Raw genomic sequence first — 19,837 nt, forward strand, 5'->3', positions numbered from 1 at the left:
GATTGCACTGTGGTCTGAGAGACAGTTTGTTATAACTTCTGTTCTTTTACATTTGCTGAGGAGTGCTTTACTCCCAACTATGTGGTCAATTTTGGAATAAGTGCGATGTGGTGCTGAGAAGAACGTATATTGTGTTGATTTGGGGTGGAGAGTTCTGTAGATGTCTATTAGGTCTGCTTGGTGCAGAGCTGAGTTCAATTCCTGGATATCCTTGTTAACTTTCTGTCTCGTGGATCTGTCTAATGTTGACAGTGGGGTGTTACAGTCTCCCATTATTATTGTGTGGGAGTCTAAGTCTCTTTGTAGGTCTCTAAGGACTTGCTTTATGAATCTGGGGGCTCCTGTATTGGGTGCATATATATTTAGGATAGTTAGCTGTTCTTGTTGAATTGATCCCTTTACCATTATGTAATGGCCTTCTTTGTCTATTTTGATCTTTGTTGGTTTAAAGTCTGTTTTATCAGAGACTAGGATTGCAACCCGTGCCTTTTTTTGTTTTCCATTTGCTTGGTAGATCTTCCTCCATCCCTTTATTCTGAGCCTGTGTGTGTCTCTGCACGTGAGATGGGTTTCCTGAATATAGCACACTGATGGGTCTTGACTCTTTATCCAATTTGCCAGTCTGTGTCTTTTAATTGGAGCATTTAGCCCATTTACATTTAAGGTTAATATTGTTATGTGTGAATTTGATCCTGTCATTATTATGTTAGCTGGTTATTTTGCTCGTTAGTTGACGCAGTTTCTTCCTAGCCTTGATGGTCTTTACAATTTGGCATGGTTTTGCAGTGGCTGGTACCGGTTGTTCCTTTCCATGTTTAGTGCTTCCTTCAGGAGCTCTTTTAGGGCAGGCCTGGTGGTGACAAAATCTCTCAGCATTTGCTTGTCTGTAAAGGATTTTATTTCTCCTTCACTTATGAAGCTTAGTTTGGCTGGATATGAAATTCAGGGTTGAAAATTCTTTTCTTTAAGAATGTTGAATATTGGCCCCCACTCTCTTCTGGCTTGTAGAGTTTCTGCCGAGAGATCAGCTGTTAGTCTGATGGGCTTCCCTTTGAGGGTAACCCGACCTTTCTCTCTGGCTGCCCTTAACATTTTTTCCTTCATTTCAGCTTTGGTGAATCTGACAATTATGTGTCTTGGAGTTCCTCTTCTCGAGGAGTATCTTTGTGGCATTCTCTGTATTTCCTGAATCTGAACGTTGGCCTGCCTTGCTAGATTGGGGAAGTTCTCCTGGATAATATCCTGCAGAGTGTTTTCCAACTTGGTTCCATTCTCCCCATCACTTTCAGGTACACCAATCAGACATAGATTTGGTCTTTTCACATAGTCCCATATTTCTTGGAGGCTTTGTTTGTTTCTTTTTATTCTTTTTTCTCTAAACTTCTCTTCTCGCTTCATTTCATTCATTTGATCTTCCATCACTGATACCCTTTCTTCCAGTTGATCGAATCGGCTACTGAGGCTTGTGCATTTGTCACATCGTTCTCATGCCATGGTTTTCAGCTCCATCAGGTCATTTAAGGCCTTCTCTGCATTGGTTATTCTAGTTAGCCATTCATTTAATCTTTTTTCAAGGTTTTTAACTTCTTTGCCATTGGTTTGAACTTCCTCCTTTAGCTCAGAGAAGTTTGATCATCTGAATCCTTCTTCTCTACTCGTCAAAGTCATCCTCCATCCAGCTTTGTCCCGTTACTGGTGAGGAGCTGCATTCCTTTGGAGGAGGAGAGGCACTCTGATTTTTAGAATTTTGAGTTTTTCTGCTCTGTTTTTCCCCATCTTTGTGGTTTTATCTACCCTTGGTCTTTGATGATGGTGACATACAGATGGGGTTTTGGTGTGGATGTCCTTTCTCTGTTTGTTAGTTATCCTTCTAACAGCCAGGACCCTCAGCTGCAGGTCTGTTGGAGTTTGCTGGAGGTTCACTCCAGACCTTGTTTGCCTGGGTGTCAGCAGTGGAGGCTGCAGAACAGCGAATATTGAGGAACAGCAAATGATGCTGCCTGATTGTTCCTCTGGAAGTTTTGTGTCAGAGGAGTAGCCGGCCATGTGAGGTGTCAGTCTGCCCCTACTGGGTGGTGCCTCCCAGTTAGGCTACTTGGGGGTCAGGGACCCACTTGAGGAGGCAGTCTGTCTGTTCTCAGATCTCAAACTGTGTGCTGGGAGAACCACTATTCTCCTCAAAGCTGTCAGACAGGGACATTTAAGTCTGCAGAGGTTTCTGCTGCCTTTTGTTTGGCTATGCCCTGCCCCCAGAGGTGGAGTCTACAGAGGCAGGCAGGCCTCCTTGAGCTGCAGTGGGCTCCACCCAGTTAGAGCTTCCCAGCCACTTTGTTTACCTACTCAAGCCTGGGCAATGGCGGGCGCCCCTACCCCAGCCTCGCTTCAGCCTTGCAGTTTGATCTCAGACTGCTGTGCTAGCAATGAGCGAGGCTCCATGGGCGTAGGACCCTCCGAGCCAGGTACAGGATATAATCTCCTGGTGTGCCGTTGGCTAAGACCATTGGAAAAGCGCAGTATTAGGGTGGGAGTGACCTGATTTTCCAGGTGCCGTCTGTCATCCCTTTCCTTGGCTAGGGGAGGGAATTCCCTGACCCTTTGCACTTCCTGGGTGAGGCAATGCCTTGCCCTGCTTCAGCTCACACTCGGTGGGCTGCACCCACTGTCCTGCACCCACTCTCCGACAATCCCCAATGAGATGAACCTGGTACCTCAGTTGGAAATGCAGAAATCATTCGTATTCTGCATCGCTCACGCTGGGAGCTGCAGACTGGAGCTGTTCCTATTCGGCCATCTTGGCTCCACCCCCTATTAATGCAGTTTTTATGCCTCATTAATGACCCATTTGATTTAATAGTTCTTAAAACTTGTGATGAATCAACAGTGATGGAAAGTTGTACTGAATCATATCTTTTTTTATTACTATGAATTATATTGTTAGAGATTGGCTTTAAAATTGAAGTTACACTAATGCATTTTAAATGTAATTTGGAGCTAGTTTAGAATTGTTGAAGCTAGGACTCTCTGGTGACTCAGGAATAGTAGAAATTGGTGGGGAAGGCATTTCACATCAAGGCTGGAATCTCCCTTTATTCTCAATGTATTAGCTTTTCTTATCTTTACCCTGAAATTTTCACTATCAAATATATTTGAGAGGCAAATCTTTTTCCTCCTTTAATGTTTGTTTCATACACATAGAATAATACTGTGTGTCTGAGATTCAGTTTTTGAAATGAAACATGGAGTCTAAGTGACCCCTTGTCGATGTGACAATGGACTGGTCTAGATCACAGCAGTTGGGCCCCATATTGTGACATGGATGCTTGCGAAAATTCTACTGTGACCTGTTGCTGAGGTGATCTGATGATATAGGTCTTGCCTTTCATTTTAACTGCCATTCTGGCAACTGAACGTTGGCAGTAAACGCAGCTTAGTTGTCTCAGAGGACTCACAATGGGATGTGCTTATAGTTGTTGCCTCGAAGGTATGTATGTTCATTTCCATCTTCTGACTGCAATTTCTTCAGATGAGCCAGTTTTCCTGTATGTTAAATGTCATTCTGATTTTTTTAATTTCCCCAGCTCCTATTTGTCTACAGATTTATAAATATGTTTCAGAGTTTTATTACTCAATTTGTGTTTTTTTATTCTTCTATCAAGATTTTTGCCTCAAATACTTTTCTCTAGAAAATACACTGTTTCCAATGCCAATTTTTTTTTTTTTTTGGAAGAGTGAAGAGTCTTGCTCTGTTGCCTAGGCTAGAATGCAGTGGTGTGATAATGACTCACAGCAACCTCCACCTCCCAGGTTTAAGCAATTCTCCTGCCTCAGCCTCCTGAGTAGCTGGGATTACAGGCATCCGCCACCACGCCTGGCTAATTTTCGTATGTTTAGTAGAGACAGGGTTTTACCATGTTGGCAAGGGAGGTCTTGAACTCCTGACCTCCTGATCCACCTTCCTTGGCCTCCCAAAGTGATGGGATTACAGGCATGAGCCACAGTGCCTGGACTTTTCTTTTTTTTTTTTTTTTTTTTTTGGCAGAGTCTCATTCTGTCACCCAGGCTGGAGTGCAGTGGCACAATCTCAGCTCTTTGCAACCTCTGCATCCCAGGTTCAAGTGATTCTCCTGCCTCAGCCTCCCAAGTAGCTGGGACTATGGGTGCCTGCCACCATGCCTGGCTAATTTTTGTATTTTTAGTAGAGACAGGGTTTCACCATATTGACCAGGCTGGTCTTGAACTCCTGACCTTGTGATCTGCCCACCTTGGCCTCCCAAAGTGCTGGGATACAGGTGTGAGCCACCACACCCGGCCTCCCCCGCCACACACACTCTTTCATAGACTAGATACAGAATAAACTGCTGAAAAATCCACTGGGGGGCCACATTTTCAGTTAATTCCCATTAATTGCTTCTTCAGAATGGTTCAGTTGAAGGGAAGTTTATTCTTGGCACAGCCATCAAGTGGTAGTTAGTTTGGAATGTCCTAAGTTCCGAACTACCTTGGGGGCCAAGCAGAACTTGGTCCCTTGCTGTGGTCAGTTGGTCATGGAGGGGTGCTCACTGCCAGACAGCTGACAATACAGGGCAATGGGTAGGATGACCAGACATTTGAATTTGTTCCTCAGAGAGGCTTCGTTTGCGGGAAAGTGCCATATTTTAGCCCAGGAGTTAAAACCTAGAGACAGGAGTTTTGTTTTGTTAAATGATTTGGCTTTTTTCTGGACTCACCACCTCTTCCAAATACATCAACCTTCCTGAAGAGCCCTTGGTGCAGGAGGATTGAGAAAGGGAGTGGAAAGAGCTCCAGGTTCAGGGTCCAGGCCATGATTTAGAGGCCTCAGGTATTCAGGGATCTCTGTCCCCAGAAAACCAACCAAATTCTTGTCGCAGATCTATCATTCGTCAGTGTTGTGACCCTAGGCAGGTCGCTTCAAATCTCTTCATTTCACTTCCCTGAACCGTCAACTCTGAGTGGCAGCCCCTGCTCTGCCCATCTCTCTGGGCCGACGTGGGCATCACAGGAAATTCAAACAAAAACTTTTCACGAGTTCTAAAGCATGAGACCCATGTCAAGAATGAAAAGAATTTTAGCCTCCACTGCCCTGGAGTCCCCCAAGTGGCTTCTCTATTAACCACTACCAAGGGCCTGGCTTATTCTTCCAGACATGAAATAATTGAACACTTTATGGCACTTAGGAAGCACCCGTTTTAAGGCTTTAGGTCCATTTAATTCTTCTTACCCTTTTAACATAACGTAGGCCATTAGGAGGCACAGAGGGATCTATAGAACTTCCTCAGGTTCTAGCAGCTTCTCAGAAGTCCCTGAGCTCAGATCCTATGCTCCGGACCCTATGCTCTTGGTCACTCCAATCTACTACCTTTCTGTAATGTCTCATCTCAATACAGGCATTTGCCTGCACACTTATACGTGCAACCCACAGTGCAAGTCTTTCTGAAGCCCAACTCAGATTCAGGGGGCTTTGCTCTGCAGATGATGAACAATGGAATCAAACATTTAAGCTGTGAATAAATAATTACTCATTTCTCTGATCTTTTGCGGCAAGACACCAACACCTGTCTTTATTTTAATTCATTTCCCAGTGTGTTGTGGCAAGGATGAAATAGTGTATCCTAGGATGCCAGGGGAATCCACCGTCTGCCACCGCGAGCGTGAGAAGCCAATCACCTATCACTGGTATCACTGGCATCCCGGCCATATATACCCTAGAGTTGCATCAATGGAAGGTGTTGTGGAAATTCAGTCATTCAGTTCATTCATGATATGATTTCTAGATTCTTCAGTGTCTCATATTTCAGACAATTATAAAATTGCGATGCTATATTCTTTATTTCATGTGTGCATATTTAAATGTGTTAAGTCAATCACTAGTGCTACAACCAGAGGAGTAAAGGTGTATTTCCATTCCAGATTTGGGTTTACTTTTAATAGTAAATAACATCTCAGTGCAAATTGTAGACATTTTGCTGATTGTTAAAACATTAATTAAAAAGGATCTTTTTCTGAGACAGTGTTGCCAGGTTTGTAAAGTAATGGACATCACTTCAAACTGTTTGGAAGTAACCGAAAAATGGAGGAAGTGGCAACAAAAATTTCCATATACCCACCTTCCTCAGTGTTTTTTGGTGATCCCATCTTTGTGAGTGTGATAACGCTCGTAACAATGACTGAGCCAATAGTGATACATTCTTATGAACAGAAATCCAAGGTTAGCATCAGTGACTGAGCCAATAGTGATACATTCTTATGAACAGAAATCTAGGGTTAGCATCAAGGTTCACTCTGTGTTGTCCAGCCTATGGGTTTTGACAAACTGACAATGTCTTTTGTCACCCTGACGGAATAATTTCACATCCTACACATGACCTGAGCTGCATCTACTAATTCCTCTCCTTTTCTGAGGATTCCTGACAACTATGGATGATTTTACTGCCTCTATAGGTTTCCTTTTCCAGAATTTTATAGAGTTGGAATCATAGAGTATGTAGCTACGTATAACTAACTTATTTTACTTAGCAATATACATGTAAGATCTTTTGTATCGTTTTGAAGCTTAACAGCTTAATAATTCTTATCAGTGAACAATAGTCCATTGGTTTCATCGAACAGGGTTAGTTGGTTCACTCACCGCCTGAAGACCATCTCAGCTGCTTCCAATTTGGGTAATTATGAATAAAGCTGCCCACATTCTTGTGCAGATTTTAAGATGAACATAATTTTCTAATTTAGCTGGGTAAATATGTAGAATTTTGATCACTTGCTGGTAAGACTATGTTTTCCATTGTGTTAGGCAGAATTCACCAGTACAATTATGTGGGCATTTTTTTTTAAAGTTATTACTTCCTGATTAAATTCTATAATGATAGAGGCCTACTCAGATTATCTATCTCTCCTTTGGGTGGTTATGGTAGTTTCTCTCTTTGAAGGCATTTGTCCATTTCATCTAAGCTAGGAAATTTGTGGGTGTAGACACTTGAATCTGACAAGTTGCCTGCTTGGTTCTCATCAAAGGCTACTGTGCTTCCTGTCATTCCTACTCTCAAACTTTTCAATAGACTTTCACTCCTGCACTTAAAAAATTGCAGGCATAGATTTGTTGAAAGTATTCTGTTATTATTTTCTTAATGATCATGGGATCAGCAAGGATAATTCCTCTTCTATTCATATTGTTTGTACATCGTGTCTTCTGTATTTTCTTTGTGATTAGCCTTGCTGGAGGTTTACCAATTCTATTGATCTTTTCTAAGAAGCAGCTTTTGGTTTTGTTGAGTTTCTTTATTTTATTATTTCTATTACATTGATTTCTGCAAATATTGTTATATTTTGGGGGAGGAGGGTTGCCTGGTTTACATTACACTATACTTTTTTCTCTAGTTTCCTAAGGTGGAAAGTAAGACATCTGGATTTGGATTACATTTAGTTTACTGCACAGAACTGTGAATGGCACTGATGCCCCTGAAGTGTGCACTTGATTATTAAAATAATAAATACGATGTATTTTGGCCACAATACTGATTTTAAAGCCAATTAAATGGATGATAAGTACAGGAGGAGCATATGTAGATCAAGGAAAGATAAATGACATTATAACATTTCAACAACAAAAGAAATTTACCGGGCCTCAAAATGCACAAGGGGGTGATGGGACACTGTCATGAAATCAGCAGTGCATTTGTGTGCCACCCTGTGTGAACTCTGCCTTTTTCGCAGTGGTGTGGGGGCTTAGCCAGAGAACCAGGTCCTGACTTCTGTGGCTTTCCTGATGGTCTCATTTGCCTTCCCTCATCACCCAGGAGGGTGTCCCAGTGGCAGCCAAGTTTCTACCCTTAACCCACCTCCTTTACACATGCCAGCCCCCTGTCCTTAGCATCCAAGGTTGCCTAAGGGATTCCTTCAGTGGAACCAACATGATGACAGTTACTCTGTGTTTCCTAGATTACGATGAGGACCTGGTGCAGGAAGCTTCATCTGAAGATGTCCTGGGCGTTCATATGGTAAGTTCTTCTTTATGTTTCTGAGATGGAAATTTTGTTGCTCTTGGTTCTTTTTTATTTTATTTGAATTGAGATATGAAAATCTTACCATGTACATTATAGATGACTTACAGAATATTTTGGTGGGAAAATGTGAGGGTCATTACCAGGTAAGAAATGATCTCAGATGGCATTCTTAGATGACACCTTCAGTTATGAACTGTATGGCAGAAAGAATTTTTGTTAGGGGAAAAGCTTTCTTCTTACAACATTGTGACTATACAACCAAAACAATCTTGAAAGTCTTGCATAAAAATCTTGTGCCTTTCCAGAAGTGTCTTCGAGGCTTTAGGACCATTGCCTCAACCACTGTCTCCCATCTGCTTTTCTAATGTCACCAAGTAAAGAAAAGACTTGTATGGTGAAACCCCATCTCTACTAAAAATACAAAAATTAGCTGGGCATGCTGACCGGCTGCTGTAATCTCAGCTACTGGGGAGGCTAAGGGAGCAGGATCGCTTGAGGCCAGGAGGCGGATGTTGCAGTGAGCCATGATCATGACACTGTACTCCAGCCTGGGTGACAGAGCGAAATTCCAGCAAAGAAAGGGAGAGAGGAAGGGAGAGAGGGAGTAGGGGAGAGAGAGAGAGAGAGAGAGAGGCAGGAAGGAAGGAAGAAGGGAAGGGAAGAAGGAAGAGAAAGAAGGAAGGGAAAGAAAGAAGGAAGGAAAGAGAAAAAGAGAAAGAAAGAAAAAGAAAGAAAAGAAAGGAAAGAAAGAAAGAGAAAAGAAGGAAGGGAGGGAGGGAAAAGGAAAACCTGTGCACACAGGACACAGCATGGTCTGACCCTTGTAGTGTTTTGTTTTTCTCTAAATGCAGGTGGACAAAGACACAGAGAGAGACAGTACGTATTCTGGAATCACCCCTATGCTGAGGAAAAATTCTAGTGTTGACAAAGGTGACACTTTCTTGCCTCATTTTTTCTGGAGAGCCACTCTGGTTTGAACTTCCTGCCAGAAATGTGGTTCAAGCACTTTTGTCTTGACAAGTGAAGAACCTGGTCAAGAAATGTGACCGTTGACTCTGGTGCTTGGAAGGAACAGGGTCATTTGGATAGAAGAGGGTGTTGTGAATCAGAGTTGGGAGGTATGGAGGAATGAGTCAATGTGGAATGATTGTGAATGTCTCTGCGAGTTTGTGTGCTTTTCCCCAGAAAATACGTTCCCATATGCAAAGCACAACACAAAGATTGATATTCTAGAAACAAAATTTGATCACCACTGCATTTTTGCAAAAAATCAACCCATTCATTCCTCACCACAGCTGTAGCTGAAGGTAAGTTTAATATCCCAAGTCCTCACATGGAGATGATGTAGAGATGAATTTTTCAGGCTTTTGGTCTCCTAAATGGAAATGGCATAGATGAACTCGGGAATGGGTGGAAGAGTGATGCTGTGGGCTACTAGTCTGAAGTTATAACATGGCCCTGGTGTAACTTGTCACCATGTCAGAGAGTCCTTAGCATCTATGTGTATGTGGAAGTATGTTGGCCTATAAAGATCTCCAGCACTGTATACCACAATAGAATGGTCTCAATGGTCAGCTGACCCAGAGTTTGAGTAGGTTCATTGTACAGTGAACTTGGGTGCGGTCATTAATATGAAACATACAGAGGGAGCTGCCGGGCCTTTGGTCTTAAGTGATGGGGTATTCCTCAGTTCCTGGTCAAGGGCAGAGAACATTCAGAGATATATTCTATTATATTTAATGAGATCATCACCAGAAATGTTAGAAATGCTCCAATTCAGTAGCACACATACCCAACACACAGCACCCAACAAGATCTCACAGAGCCAATTGGCTGTTAGCCTGGTGCCCATCTCGTCTGCTGGAATCTCTGCACAGCTGGGTAACAGAGGGTCAGCGCCCCCACCTGCTGTCACCCATGAAGGGCTGTCCCATTCCTGGAGCCAGTGTGAGTATGAGCAACAGCAGGCCCCATGACACACACACACAGTGTTAAAAGAAAGAGCAGAAGGACAAATATCACAGGCCAAGTAGAGGTCATCTTTAAATGGTAGGATAATTGAGTGTTTTCAAATCTTGGTTTAGTCTTCTTTGAAACAAAAGGTTAGTGAATATGTAGAATATTTTGGCTAGAATTATATCACCTCTTTGAAGAAAGGTTGCTTTTTACCTCGTACAAAATGTTCTGGCTGAAGACGGTGGCTCATGCCTGTAATCCCAGTGCTTTGGGAGGCCAAGGAGGGTGGATCACCTAAGGTCAGGAGTTCAAGACCAGCCTGATCAACATAGAGAAACCCCATCTCTACTAAAAATACAAAATTAGCTGGGCATGGGAGCACATGTCTCTAATACCAGCTACTCAGGAAGCACATGTCTTTAATACCAGCTACTCAGGGAGCACATGTCTGTAATACCAGCTACTCAGCTACCCATTCATCCTCCACCACAGCTGTACCTGAAGATAAGTTTAATATCCCCAGTCCTCAGATGGACATGCTGCAGAGTTGAATTTCCCAAGCTCCTGGTCTTTTAAATGGAAGAGGCACATGTGAACTCGGGAATGAGTGGAAGGTTAATGCCATGGGCTACTACACTGAATTTGTCACAAAGCCCTGGTATAATTTCTTGCTAGGCCAAGTTATTCCAGCACTTCTGTGTGCTGGAAGAATGAAAACCTATTCAGATCCCAAACACTATCATTATCGGATGGTCTCAATGGTCAGCTAACCCAGGGTTTGTTTGAGTAGGTACAGTGCACAGTGGGCTTTAGTGTGATCATTAATGTAAAACACACAGAGTCCTCAGGCTTTTGGTCTACAGTGTTGAGGTCATTCCTCAGCTCCTGTTCAAAAGCAGACAATAATCAGTGACATACTCTATTGTATTTAAGGAGATAATCACCGCAAGTCTTAGAAATTCAGTGGAAACCAATCCCAACACATAGCATCCAATAAAATCTCAAGACTCAACTTGGGTGTTAGCCTGGCACCCATTTTCCCTGCTGGAATCTCTGCACAGCTGGGTTGGAGAGGGTCAGTGCCCACCCCTTGCCCCGCCTCGCTGCTCCCCATGACAGACTGTCTCTGTGCTGGAGTCAGTGTGAGCATGAGCAGCAGTGAACTCCATGGTGCACACACATGGTGTTGAAAAGGAAGAGCGGAAGAACAAATATCACATGCTAAGTAGGGGTCATCGTTAAATGGTAGGATAATAGAGTATTTTCAAATCTCTGTTTATTTGCCTTGTAACAGAAAGTTAGTAATAAAATCTTTTGGCTAGAATTAAATCTCCTATTGTAAGAAAGGTTACTTCTTGTTTAGTACAAAATCTTCTAGAAGGGATGATAAACAGATCAGCAGCACATGTGGATTCTGAGGAGGAAATGACTTTGGCAGGGATCAATAAGAGGGCAAGTTAGCTCAGGTCAGATTAGGAAGGAGGAGCCCTAAGAGGCTGCCAGGGACACACAGCCTGCACTGCTGGTGTGCACTGTTTGAGATTGGCTATTATATGTTTATGAGGCGGCCTGGAGCTAGGAAGCCAAAGGCCCTGATTCCCTTTCTTCCTGCATCTCTCCTGTGCCTGCTACCCTCCTCCCAAGCCCACCTCAAGCAGTGTTACTGAATTGTTCATGAGCGCCACCACCAAGGTGCTGACGGTCACTCTGTATCCTCCTAGTTGAGATGAAACGGCAACTACGGCGACTACGGGAGCTCCACCTATACAGCACATGGAAGAAGTACCAAGAGGCGATGAAGGTCAGGCCACCTGGATTTGTCTGAGAAAAAACTGTTGCTTTCTTAGCTTTATCTGATTTGGATTAAATTAAGATATGAGACTCTGACAATATGTATCTTAGTTACACAGTGTCCTTGGGGGGAATTGTAAGTGAGAGTCTGTCCCCACTGAGGCTTGATTTAAAACAGTGGGAGAAAATGACAGCATCAGTCACACATTGTGGGGCAGGGAGCTTTTGCCTTACTAATTTTGTTCTCTCTTTGGAGCAAAATCAGTTACTTGCCAACCAACATGGACTTGAGAGGAAATATCCTCTGAGAAAAATTTGTGTCTTTAGTATGAGTTGATTTGCTCTGTTCTTCTTTGGGGTTCCTTTGAACACTGGTTTTTCCATCTTGTTTTCTAATGTCACTAAGTGAAGAAAAGTCCTGTGCTCACAGGACACAGCATGGTCTGATGCTCATAGCAATTTATTTTCTGTCATTACAGACATCCTTGGGAGTTCCACAACGTGGTACGTATTGGGGAACCCCTCTCATACTGATGAGTAATCCAGATGTTGAGGAATGTGGCCCTGTCTCACAGGCTTTCCTGTAGACAGGCAGCCTGAGCTGAGCTTCATGTTGTGAATGAGGACCTAGACTGTGATGGGAGAAATGGTTTTTCTAGATAAGAAACAGTGGCCACATTCTGCAGTCCCCGGGAACAACTGTGTTCTCTGAAGGTGGGGTGGGATCCCGTGCAAGGGGCCTGCCATGTCTTTTGTGAATTCATGTGGTGCCATGGTCCGTGTGTCTGGTGGGGGGGTGTGTGGGTTTCCATACTACATATCCCCAGAGTTTCTAGTGTCCACATTCTCAACAGAGATTTCCGTCACCATTGCGGTCCTATTGTAGGCACAAAAAAAGATTAACTTGTAAGCTTCCAATGTTTGCAGTTTATTTCATGCACAGGGCACTTCAATAAACCTAAAAGAAATCCTGTCAACACAAAGGCAAATTCTTACTGCACACCCATAGAACAGGACTGTGTCAGAATCTCTGCTGATTTTATTTTTTCATTGAGAATTCCCTGCTATACTTTATTTTCTAATAAACCTCACCTCTTCACAGGCCTTTCTATTTCCTCTGCCACTAGAATGGCATGACACCTCACTCTAGCCCCTTCCCTCCTTTACAAGCCTTTTATCTACCAAAGCCCTCAGAACTGACCCTCCACCACCCATCTTGAGCAGGGAGAGTGGGGCAGGGCTTCTTCCTGTGCATTTAGACCCTGGAGCAGCCTCATGCTACAGCGAGTTCTGCTGGGAAACTGAGAAGAGAGGAGCCTGCAGGCGGGGTTAGGGGGAAATCACCCCAACTTTCTCCATAGAGGTCTCATATTGACCATAAGTAATGGGGCCCAGAATGGATAATTCCAGGGTCATGTAGAGTTTCAGCCTTGTATCCCTCAGCCTAGTCATGGTTTCTGTGTGCTCAGCTCAGAAACTACATGAAAAGAAAACCAAGGGGTTTGCCCTAGGGTCTGAGAGGCAGGGTGAGCACTTGCCTTCCTAGCATGATGGAGGGTGGCTCATGCAGTGCTGTGTTATTTTCTCATGTCCTGATCAAAAGCACAAAGTAATCAGGCGTGTTATATTGTATTTAATGGCATAATCTCCACAAGCCTTACATATGCTGCAGTTCAGCACATACCCCCAAGACACAGCACCAAATAAGAACCGAAGGAAAAACTTGGATGTTACCCTGGTCCTCATCTTCTCTGCTGGACTCTTCTACACAGCTGGGTTGGAGAGGTTCAGCGCCCCCACCTGCTGCCCCCCATGATGGGCTGTCCTAGTGCTGGAGCCAGTGTGAGCATGAGCAGCAGCAGGTCCCATGGCACACACACACTGTGTTAAAAGGAAGAGCAGAAGCACAAACATCATGGGCCAAGTAGCAGTCATCTTTAAATGGTAGGATAATTGAGTATTTTCAAATCTTGGCTTAGTCTTCTTTAAAACAAAAGGTTAGTGAATACGTAGGATATTTTAGTTAGAATTAAGTCTCCTCTTTGAGGAAGGGTTGCTTTTTATCTAGTACAAAAGTTGTGACATGGTGACTGACGCCTGTAACCCCAGCACTTTGGGAGGCCAAGGCGCGCAGATTACCTGAGGTTGAGAGTTCGAGACCAGACTGACCAACATGGAGAAAACCCGTTTCTCCTAAAAATACAGAATTAGCCAAGCATGGAGATGCATGCCTGTAATCCTAGCTACTCAGGAGGCTGAGACTGGAGAATCCCTTGAACCCAGGTGGCACAGGTTGTGGTGGGTCGAGATGGCACCATTATACTCCAGCCTGGGCAAGAAAAGAGAAACTCCATCTCAAAAAAAAAAAAAAAAAAGCAAGTTCTGGGAGGGACAAAAAACATAGCAGCAGGACAGGTGGATCCGGGGAGGAAATGACCTCGAGGGGATAAAGAAGGGAGGACAAGTTAGCTGAGGTCAGATTAGGAAGGAGGAGCCCTGGATGCTGCAGTGAAACACGGTGTGGTGTGCCCTGTTTGAGATGGGCTCTTTCATGTCGAAGAGGTTGGCGTAGCTAGAGGACCAAGGCTCTGTCTTCTGAGACCTTCCTGGTGCCCTCCTTCACCATTTGCCTTCCCTCTCCACCATGGAGGATAGACCGGCAGCAGCTGAGTCTGTGCTGTGAACACACCTTTCCACACACGCCAGCCCCGTGTCCACAGCTCCAAGACCACCTGAGGGATTCACTCAGTGGAGCTCATGTGCTTATAGCGACTCTGTTTCCTAGGTGACCTGGAAGACCTGGAGGAGCATCTGCCAGGGCAGACAGTCTCTGAGGAAGCCACAGGGGTTCACATGGTAAAGTCGTCTTCTTTCCTCTGAAAAGGAAATTTTATTTCTCTCGGTTTCTCTGTTTCAATTGAATTAAGATGTATACATCTCACCATGTACACTATAGGTGACTGACAGAATTTCTTGGTGGGCAAATGCCAGAGTTCATTATCAACTAAACAGTGGTTTCAGATGGCATCCACACTTACAAACTGTGTGTCAGCAGGCATTTTCCTTAAGAGAAATGCCTTCTTCTTGAGAAGAGTTTGGAATTGTCAAAGAAAAACAATTGAAAATGTTGCACAGAAATCCTGTGCCTTTCCAGGAATGTCTTCTAGATACCGGGGCCATTGTCTCAACCACTGTTTACCATCTGGCTTTTTAACGTCAACAAGTGAAGACCTGTGCACACAGGAGACAGCATGGTCTGACCCTCATGGTGTTTTCTTTTTCTCTAGATGCAGGTGGACCCAGCCACACCGGCAAAGAGTACGTATTCTGGGATCATCTCTTTGTTTAGGTTTGAAATCTTAGTGTTGTAAAGGTGGCGCTGCTTCACCTGCTTTTGCTCAAGGGCCACTCTGGTTTGAGCTTTCTGCCAGAAATGAGATTTGGGAAGTTTGGTTTAAAAACTACTAAGAGTCACACCGGGCACAGTGGCTCACGCCTGTAATTCCAGCACCTTGAGAGGCGGAGACGGGCGGATCAGCAGAGGTCAGGAGTTTGAGACCAGCCTGACTGACATTGAGAAACCCCATCTCTCCTAAAAATACAAAATTACCTGGGTGTGGTGTCACATGCCTGCAATCCCAGCTACTCAGGAGGCCGAGGCAGGAGAATCACTTGAACCCAGGTGGTAGTGGTTGCAGTGAGCCAAGGTTGTGCCATTGCACTCCAGCCTGGGCAACGAGCGAAACTCCGTCTCAAAAAAAAAAAAAAAAAAACACCCCAACAAACTAAGAGTCCAGTACTCTAACCATGCTACTGCCATCCCTGGAAGCAGCAGTGTCATGTAAGGTGGGGTGGTACATCAGAGTTGGGAGGGACAGAGGAGAGAGTCTATATGGAATGATTATGGATGTCTTTGCGAGTGTGTGTGCATTTCCCCAGAAAACATACTCCCATGTTCAAAGCACAACACGAGGATCAATGTCCAAGAAAAATTCCATCACCACTGCACAGTTTGCATAAATCAACCCATTCATCCTCCACCACAGCTGTACCTGAAGATAAGTTTAATATCCCCAGTCCTCAGATGGACATGCTGCAGAGTTGAATTTCCCAAGCTCTTGGTCTTTTAAGTGGAAGAGGCACATGTGAACTCGGGGATGAGTGGAAGGTTAATGGCATGAGCTACTACACTGAATTTGTCACAAAGCCCTGGTATAATTTCTTGCTAGGCCAAGTTATTCTAGCAATTCTGTGTGCATGTGGGAGAATGAAAAGCTATTCAGATCCCAAACACTATCGTTATCAGATGGTCTCAATGGTCAGCTATCCCAGGGTTTGTTTGAGTAGGTACATTGCACAGTGGGCTTTAGTGTGACCATTAATGTAAAACACACACACTCCTCAGGCTTTTGGTCTAGAATGGTGAAATCATTCCTCAGCTCCTTTTCAAATGCAGACAGTAATCAGTGGCATATTCTATTGTATTTAATGAAATAATCATCAGGCAGGATACCTGCCCCACACTAGTTGCAGGGGAGGTGAGAACGGACCCTGCCTCAGAGCAAGGTGAACTCAGCAAAGGGAGAGGGGCTGCTCCAGAGTCCAGGTGGTCCTTGCAACTCTCCTGTGTGATGTATAAGACATCACTTTGCCTTTTTCTCTGAGATAGTCTTGGAATTGTTAGTCCTAAACTCTGTTTTGCTTTACTCATGTGTAGACGAATCCTGGCCATGGCTGGTCACGGAGGGGAAGGACTATGTCCTCCTCGTTCCTTCTCATCCCAGAGCTTAGCCCTGGGCAGCCCATCTTGGGCCCCAGTAATGTTCCAATGCTTCCAAACCCTTTGCTGAGATCCAGCACCAGTGTGAAAAGGCTTCCTGCTCATCTCCTTCAATCTGTTGTTTCTCATGGTAATTTAGAAACCTGAGTGGATTCTGATCCAAGGTCACAGGAGAATAGGGTGGGTTCCTGAAGTCAATGAAGTGTCCCCCTCATCTCTACCCTGGCTACTTTGGTTCAGCTTTTCTCCTTGCAGAAGAGGCTGTTTTTCTGTTTACGAGTCCTCCTTTGCTGGACCAGGCTTTTTTATTTTTGTTGTGGCATCCCTGCACTTCACAGGGGGCCTGGAGCTTGTTCCTGTGCCCCTGAAGTACCCATCCATGAATGATCAGATCACAGCAGCAAACCACTCTGCCAGGAATCACCAGGGGGGAGAGTCACATCTTCCTCATCTTTGGGTTTAGACCTGTGCATTCCCGTATGGTCCTCAGTGGCATATGTGCCCATTCATGTTAAAATAAATGAAAAAATTCATAACCTCCTCACAAGAGCCATGCTAGAAGTTCCCAGTTGCCAAAAGTCTACTCTTAAGAGAGCATCTCCATTCTCCCAGAATCACCTGGGAAGCAGCTGCTGTGAGTCTGGCCCAGGTTCTGTTCTCTGCACCCACCTAACTCAGTGCATTTGCATCAAGGCTGGAATCTCAGGTTCCCAGATTGGAGGTAAGAGATGCTATGAGCCAGTGTCGGTGAACAGTTGAAAGGGATTATTTCAGGTCCTCTGTCTTACCTGAAGGCTCACAACTGTGAGCAGTGCCTTCATAAAGGCCCCTGAGTTCACAGAGCCCAGGGAGAATCACAGTGGACAGAGCAGTAGTGCTAATGTTTGTGTCTCTGTACATGGGCTCATGGGCACCACCTCTGGATCCATCCAGGAGGAAATAGACTGGTCAGGTAGGGACCAACACTCCAGGGTTGACCAGTGAGACAGGGTTCTTGGGAATTGGGTTACACTTGTTTTGGAGCCTAGGATGGGATCAGTGAAGTGACTAAATATGAAACAGGTGTAGAAGTCTGACTTGGGATTTTTTGTATCTTAATGAGAAAGTCCTAAGAGTTTTGTTCTCATGGGCTTTGTGCGAGTTGTGTATGTCACCATCATTTCTTGCTCTGGTGTCTAAAGATTACATTTTGCAGAAGACCAGATCATTCCTGCCTTTGCCACAGCAAGCACCAGAGCCCTGGGTTTTGATGAGGTAGCATTTTTTTGTGAATAGAGATCACAAGATGAGTATGCAGGTGTAAAGTTGAGTGTGGGGTGGGACACAGCCCCACACAGGCGCTACGTGATCCTGAAGACAAAGTCCTTCATACGTGTGCCAGGAGGTGAAAGGAGCCCACTGTCTTTCTCTACACTCTCGGGACCTGCAACAGCACCTTCCTGTCCTGTCCTCACTGTCTGCTCCTGCTCTAAGGGTGCTCCCTGGGTCGGATGACACAGGGAATCCTTCCTCTGGGATTCCTACGTGTGCCCCAGCATCCTGGAGTCCTGAGGGCAGAACACATGATTGAGCACAGTTTTGGCCTCCACTCTTCACCCAATCCCATCCAATCCCAAATCCCTGTGCTTTGAATGAAACCTAAATTGGCTTTCACTGGAGAGGCCCAAGTCCAGCTGTTGCTCAGGGCCCTCTGTGGCTGGCAGGAATCCTAAGGGATATGTGTGGAGGGGCTGCTGTGTTGCTGTAGGCAGTGGCTCTCACCCTCCCTGTAGCCTGGTCCCTGGAATCCACTGGGCCCAGGGCAGAGCCTCTGGGCAGCTGGCACAGTGGTCACTTGTCTTGTCACACCCTCCTCTCTGGCTCAGCAGCCTTGTCCTTCTCCCCACACTCCAGTCAGGCCCAGATTGTTCTCTGTGTCAGGTCTTCCAGGTACCTTCCCTCCTAGTCTTCCCACAGCTCAGGCAAACCCTGGGAGGGTCCCCTCATTTCTGTGCTGGCAACTGCTGGCCTCACCTGCAGATTAAGGCAACTGGGACAAGGGGCTTTACCTTGAATTCTGTTCCATTGTTTCCAAATATTCAGAAGCTGCTGGGATTCTTTTGAGGGCTGAATATTTTCCAAGTCTCTAAGGTCACTCCAGGCATAGAACAGTCACTGTATAAGTGACATCGGCCATCATCACCTCCCGCAGGCCCCAACACAACCCCAGGCCTGTGGGAGGTGCTGCTGACCCAGGGTGCGATCCGTGGGTTGATTGGAGGCCCTGGCAGTGCAGCCTTGACCTTCTTTCCAGTGTTCTTATTTTGGAGAACAGTAGGACTGGTGGAGGTCCACAGGGTGAAAGGAAATGGGATTCATGCGGGAACAGAAACAGGCCCTACAGGAGGAGAAGGGAGGGAACTCCATGTCACGCACAACGTTGTGAAGAGGGCGCTGCCTCTTGGAGGAACAGAATGACACGGCTTCCCCTCCCTTGGCTCAGTTATGGAATGTGAGGGCTGGGAAAGTACGTGGGAAGTCAGAGGTCCCTCCCTCATAGCACAGAGGAAATGATACAGGCTGTGGAGAAGGCTCCAGAAATGAGCACATCAGAGGCTCTGGGGTTGGCTCCACAGCCCCAGGACAGCAGGGTCTGAGTGGTTCTCTCGACTCTAACTCTCCCCTTTCCTTCTTATGGCCACCCCATCACCGCTGCTCCTCCGGACACTCTGATGCTTGCTTCACAGAATTGGAAGACTCCACCATTACAGGCAGCCACCAGCAGGTAATTGATCTCCTCTTATATGCTGGCTGTCTTTTATCCTCTTTCTGACTCATGAGCTCCTTTTTTAGCTCTAGTCCTTTTCCTCTTTCCCTCTCTTGTGATTGTTCTCCTGAAGGACCTGGTCTCATCCCACAGTTGAGGTCCTCGGGTCTTCAGTGTCGATAAAATCCCTCTCCAGCCCTCCTGCCCACTGCCTTGGCATTGCCCTGTTTACTGGCCCCCAGGTTGCAGCTTTGAATCTTGCTGAACAACCCTACAGGGTCCAGGGGAAGGGGCTGGGCTGGGGTCAGAAGAGCTGGACCCCACCCTGCTGGAGGGACCCCCAGTGACATCTGGGTCTGCTCTGGGCACCGCCTTCACAGATAGGTCTTTTCCTGCACTGGCGTCTCTGGACATGCACAATTGTTCTCTTCCTCACAGATGTCAGCAAGTCCTTCCTCTGCACCTGCAGAAGAAGCAACAGAAAAGACCAAAGTGGAAGAGGAAGTGTGAGTGTGCAGTGCGCAGAATGATGAGGGAAGCAGGCAC

The 19,837-nt window shown here is 45.4% G+C and overlaps 1 pseudogene across 2 annotated transcripts in view; it reads left to right on the forward strand.

The window, feature by feature from the left end:
- The window catches only part of FAM153CP (family with sequence similarity 153 member C, pseudogene), a 55,897-nt pseudogene that overhangs the window by 19,451 nt on the left and 16,609 nt on the right, over positions 1-19,837 (forward strand). For both annotated transcript variants that reach the window (NR_149722.1, NR_159407.1), the window contains 8 exons: positions 7,954-8,012; positions 8,870-8,894; positions 11,696-11,775; positions 12,245-12,269; positions 14,551-14,621; positions 15,053-15,083; positions 19,272-19,309; positions 19,730-19,797. The product of NR_149722.1 is annotated as a family with sequence similarity 153 member C, pseudogene, transcript variant 2 (transcript). The remainder of the gene's footprint in view (positions 1-7,953; positions 8,013-8,869; positions 8,895-11,695; positions 11,776-12,244; positions 12,270-14,550; positions 14,622-15,052; positions 15,084-19,271; positions 19,310-19,729; positions 19,798-19,837) is intronic.

This window comes from Homo sapiens, chromosome 5, assembly GCF_000001405.40.
Source record: "Homo sapiens chromosome 5, GRCh38.p14 Primary Assembly".
NCBI classification, from domain to species: domain Eukaryota; kingdom Metazoa; phylum Chordata; class Mammalia; order Primates; family Hominidae; genus Homo; species Homo sapiens.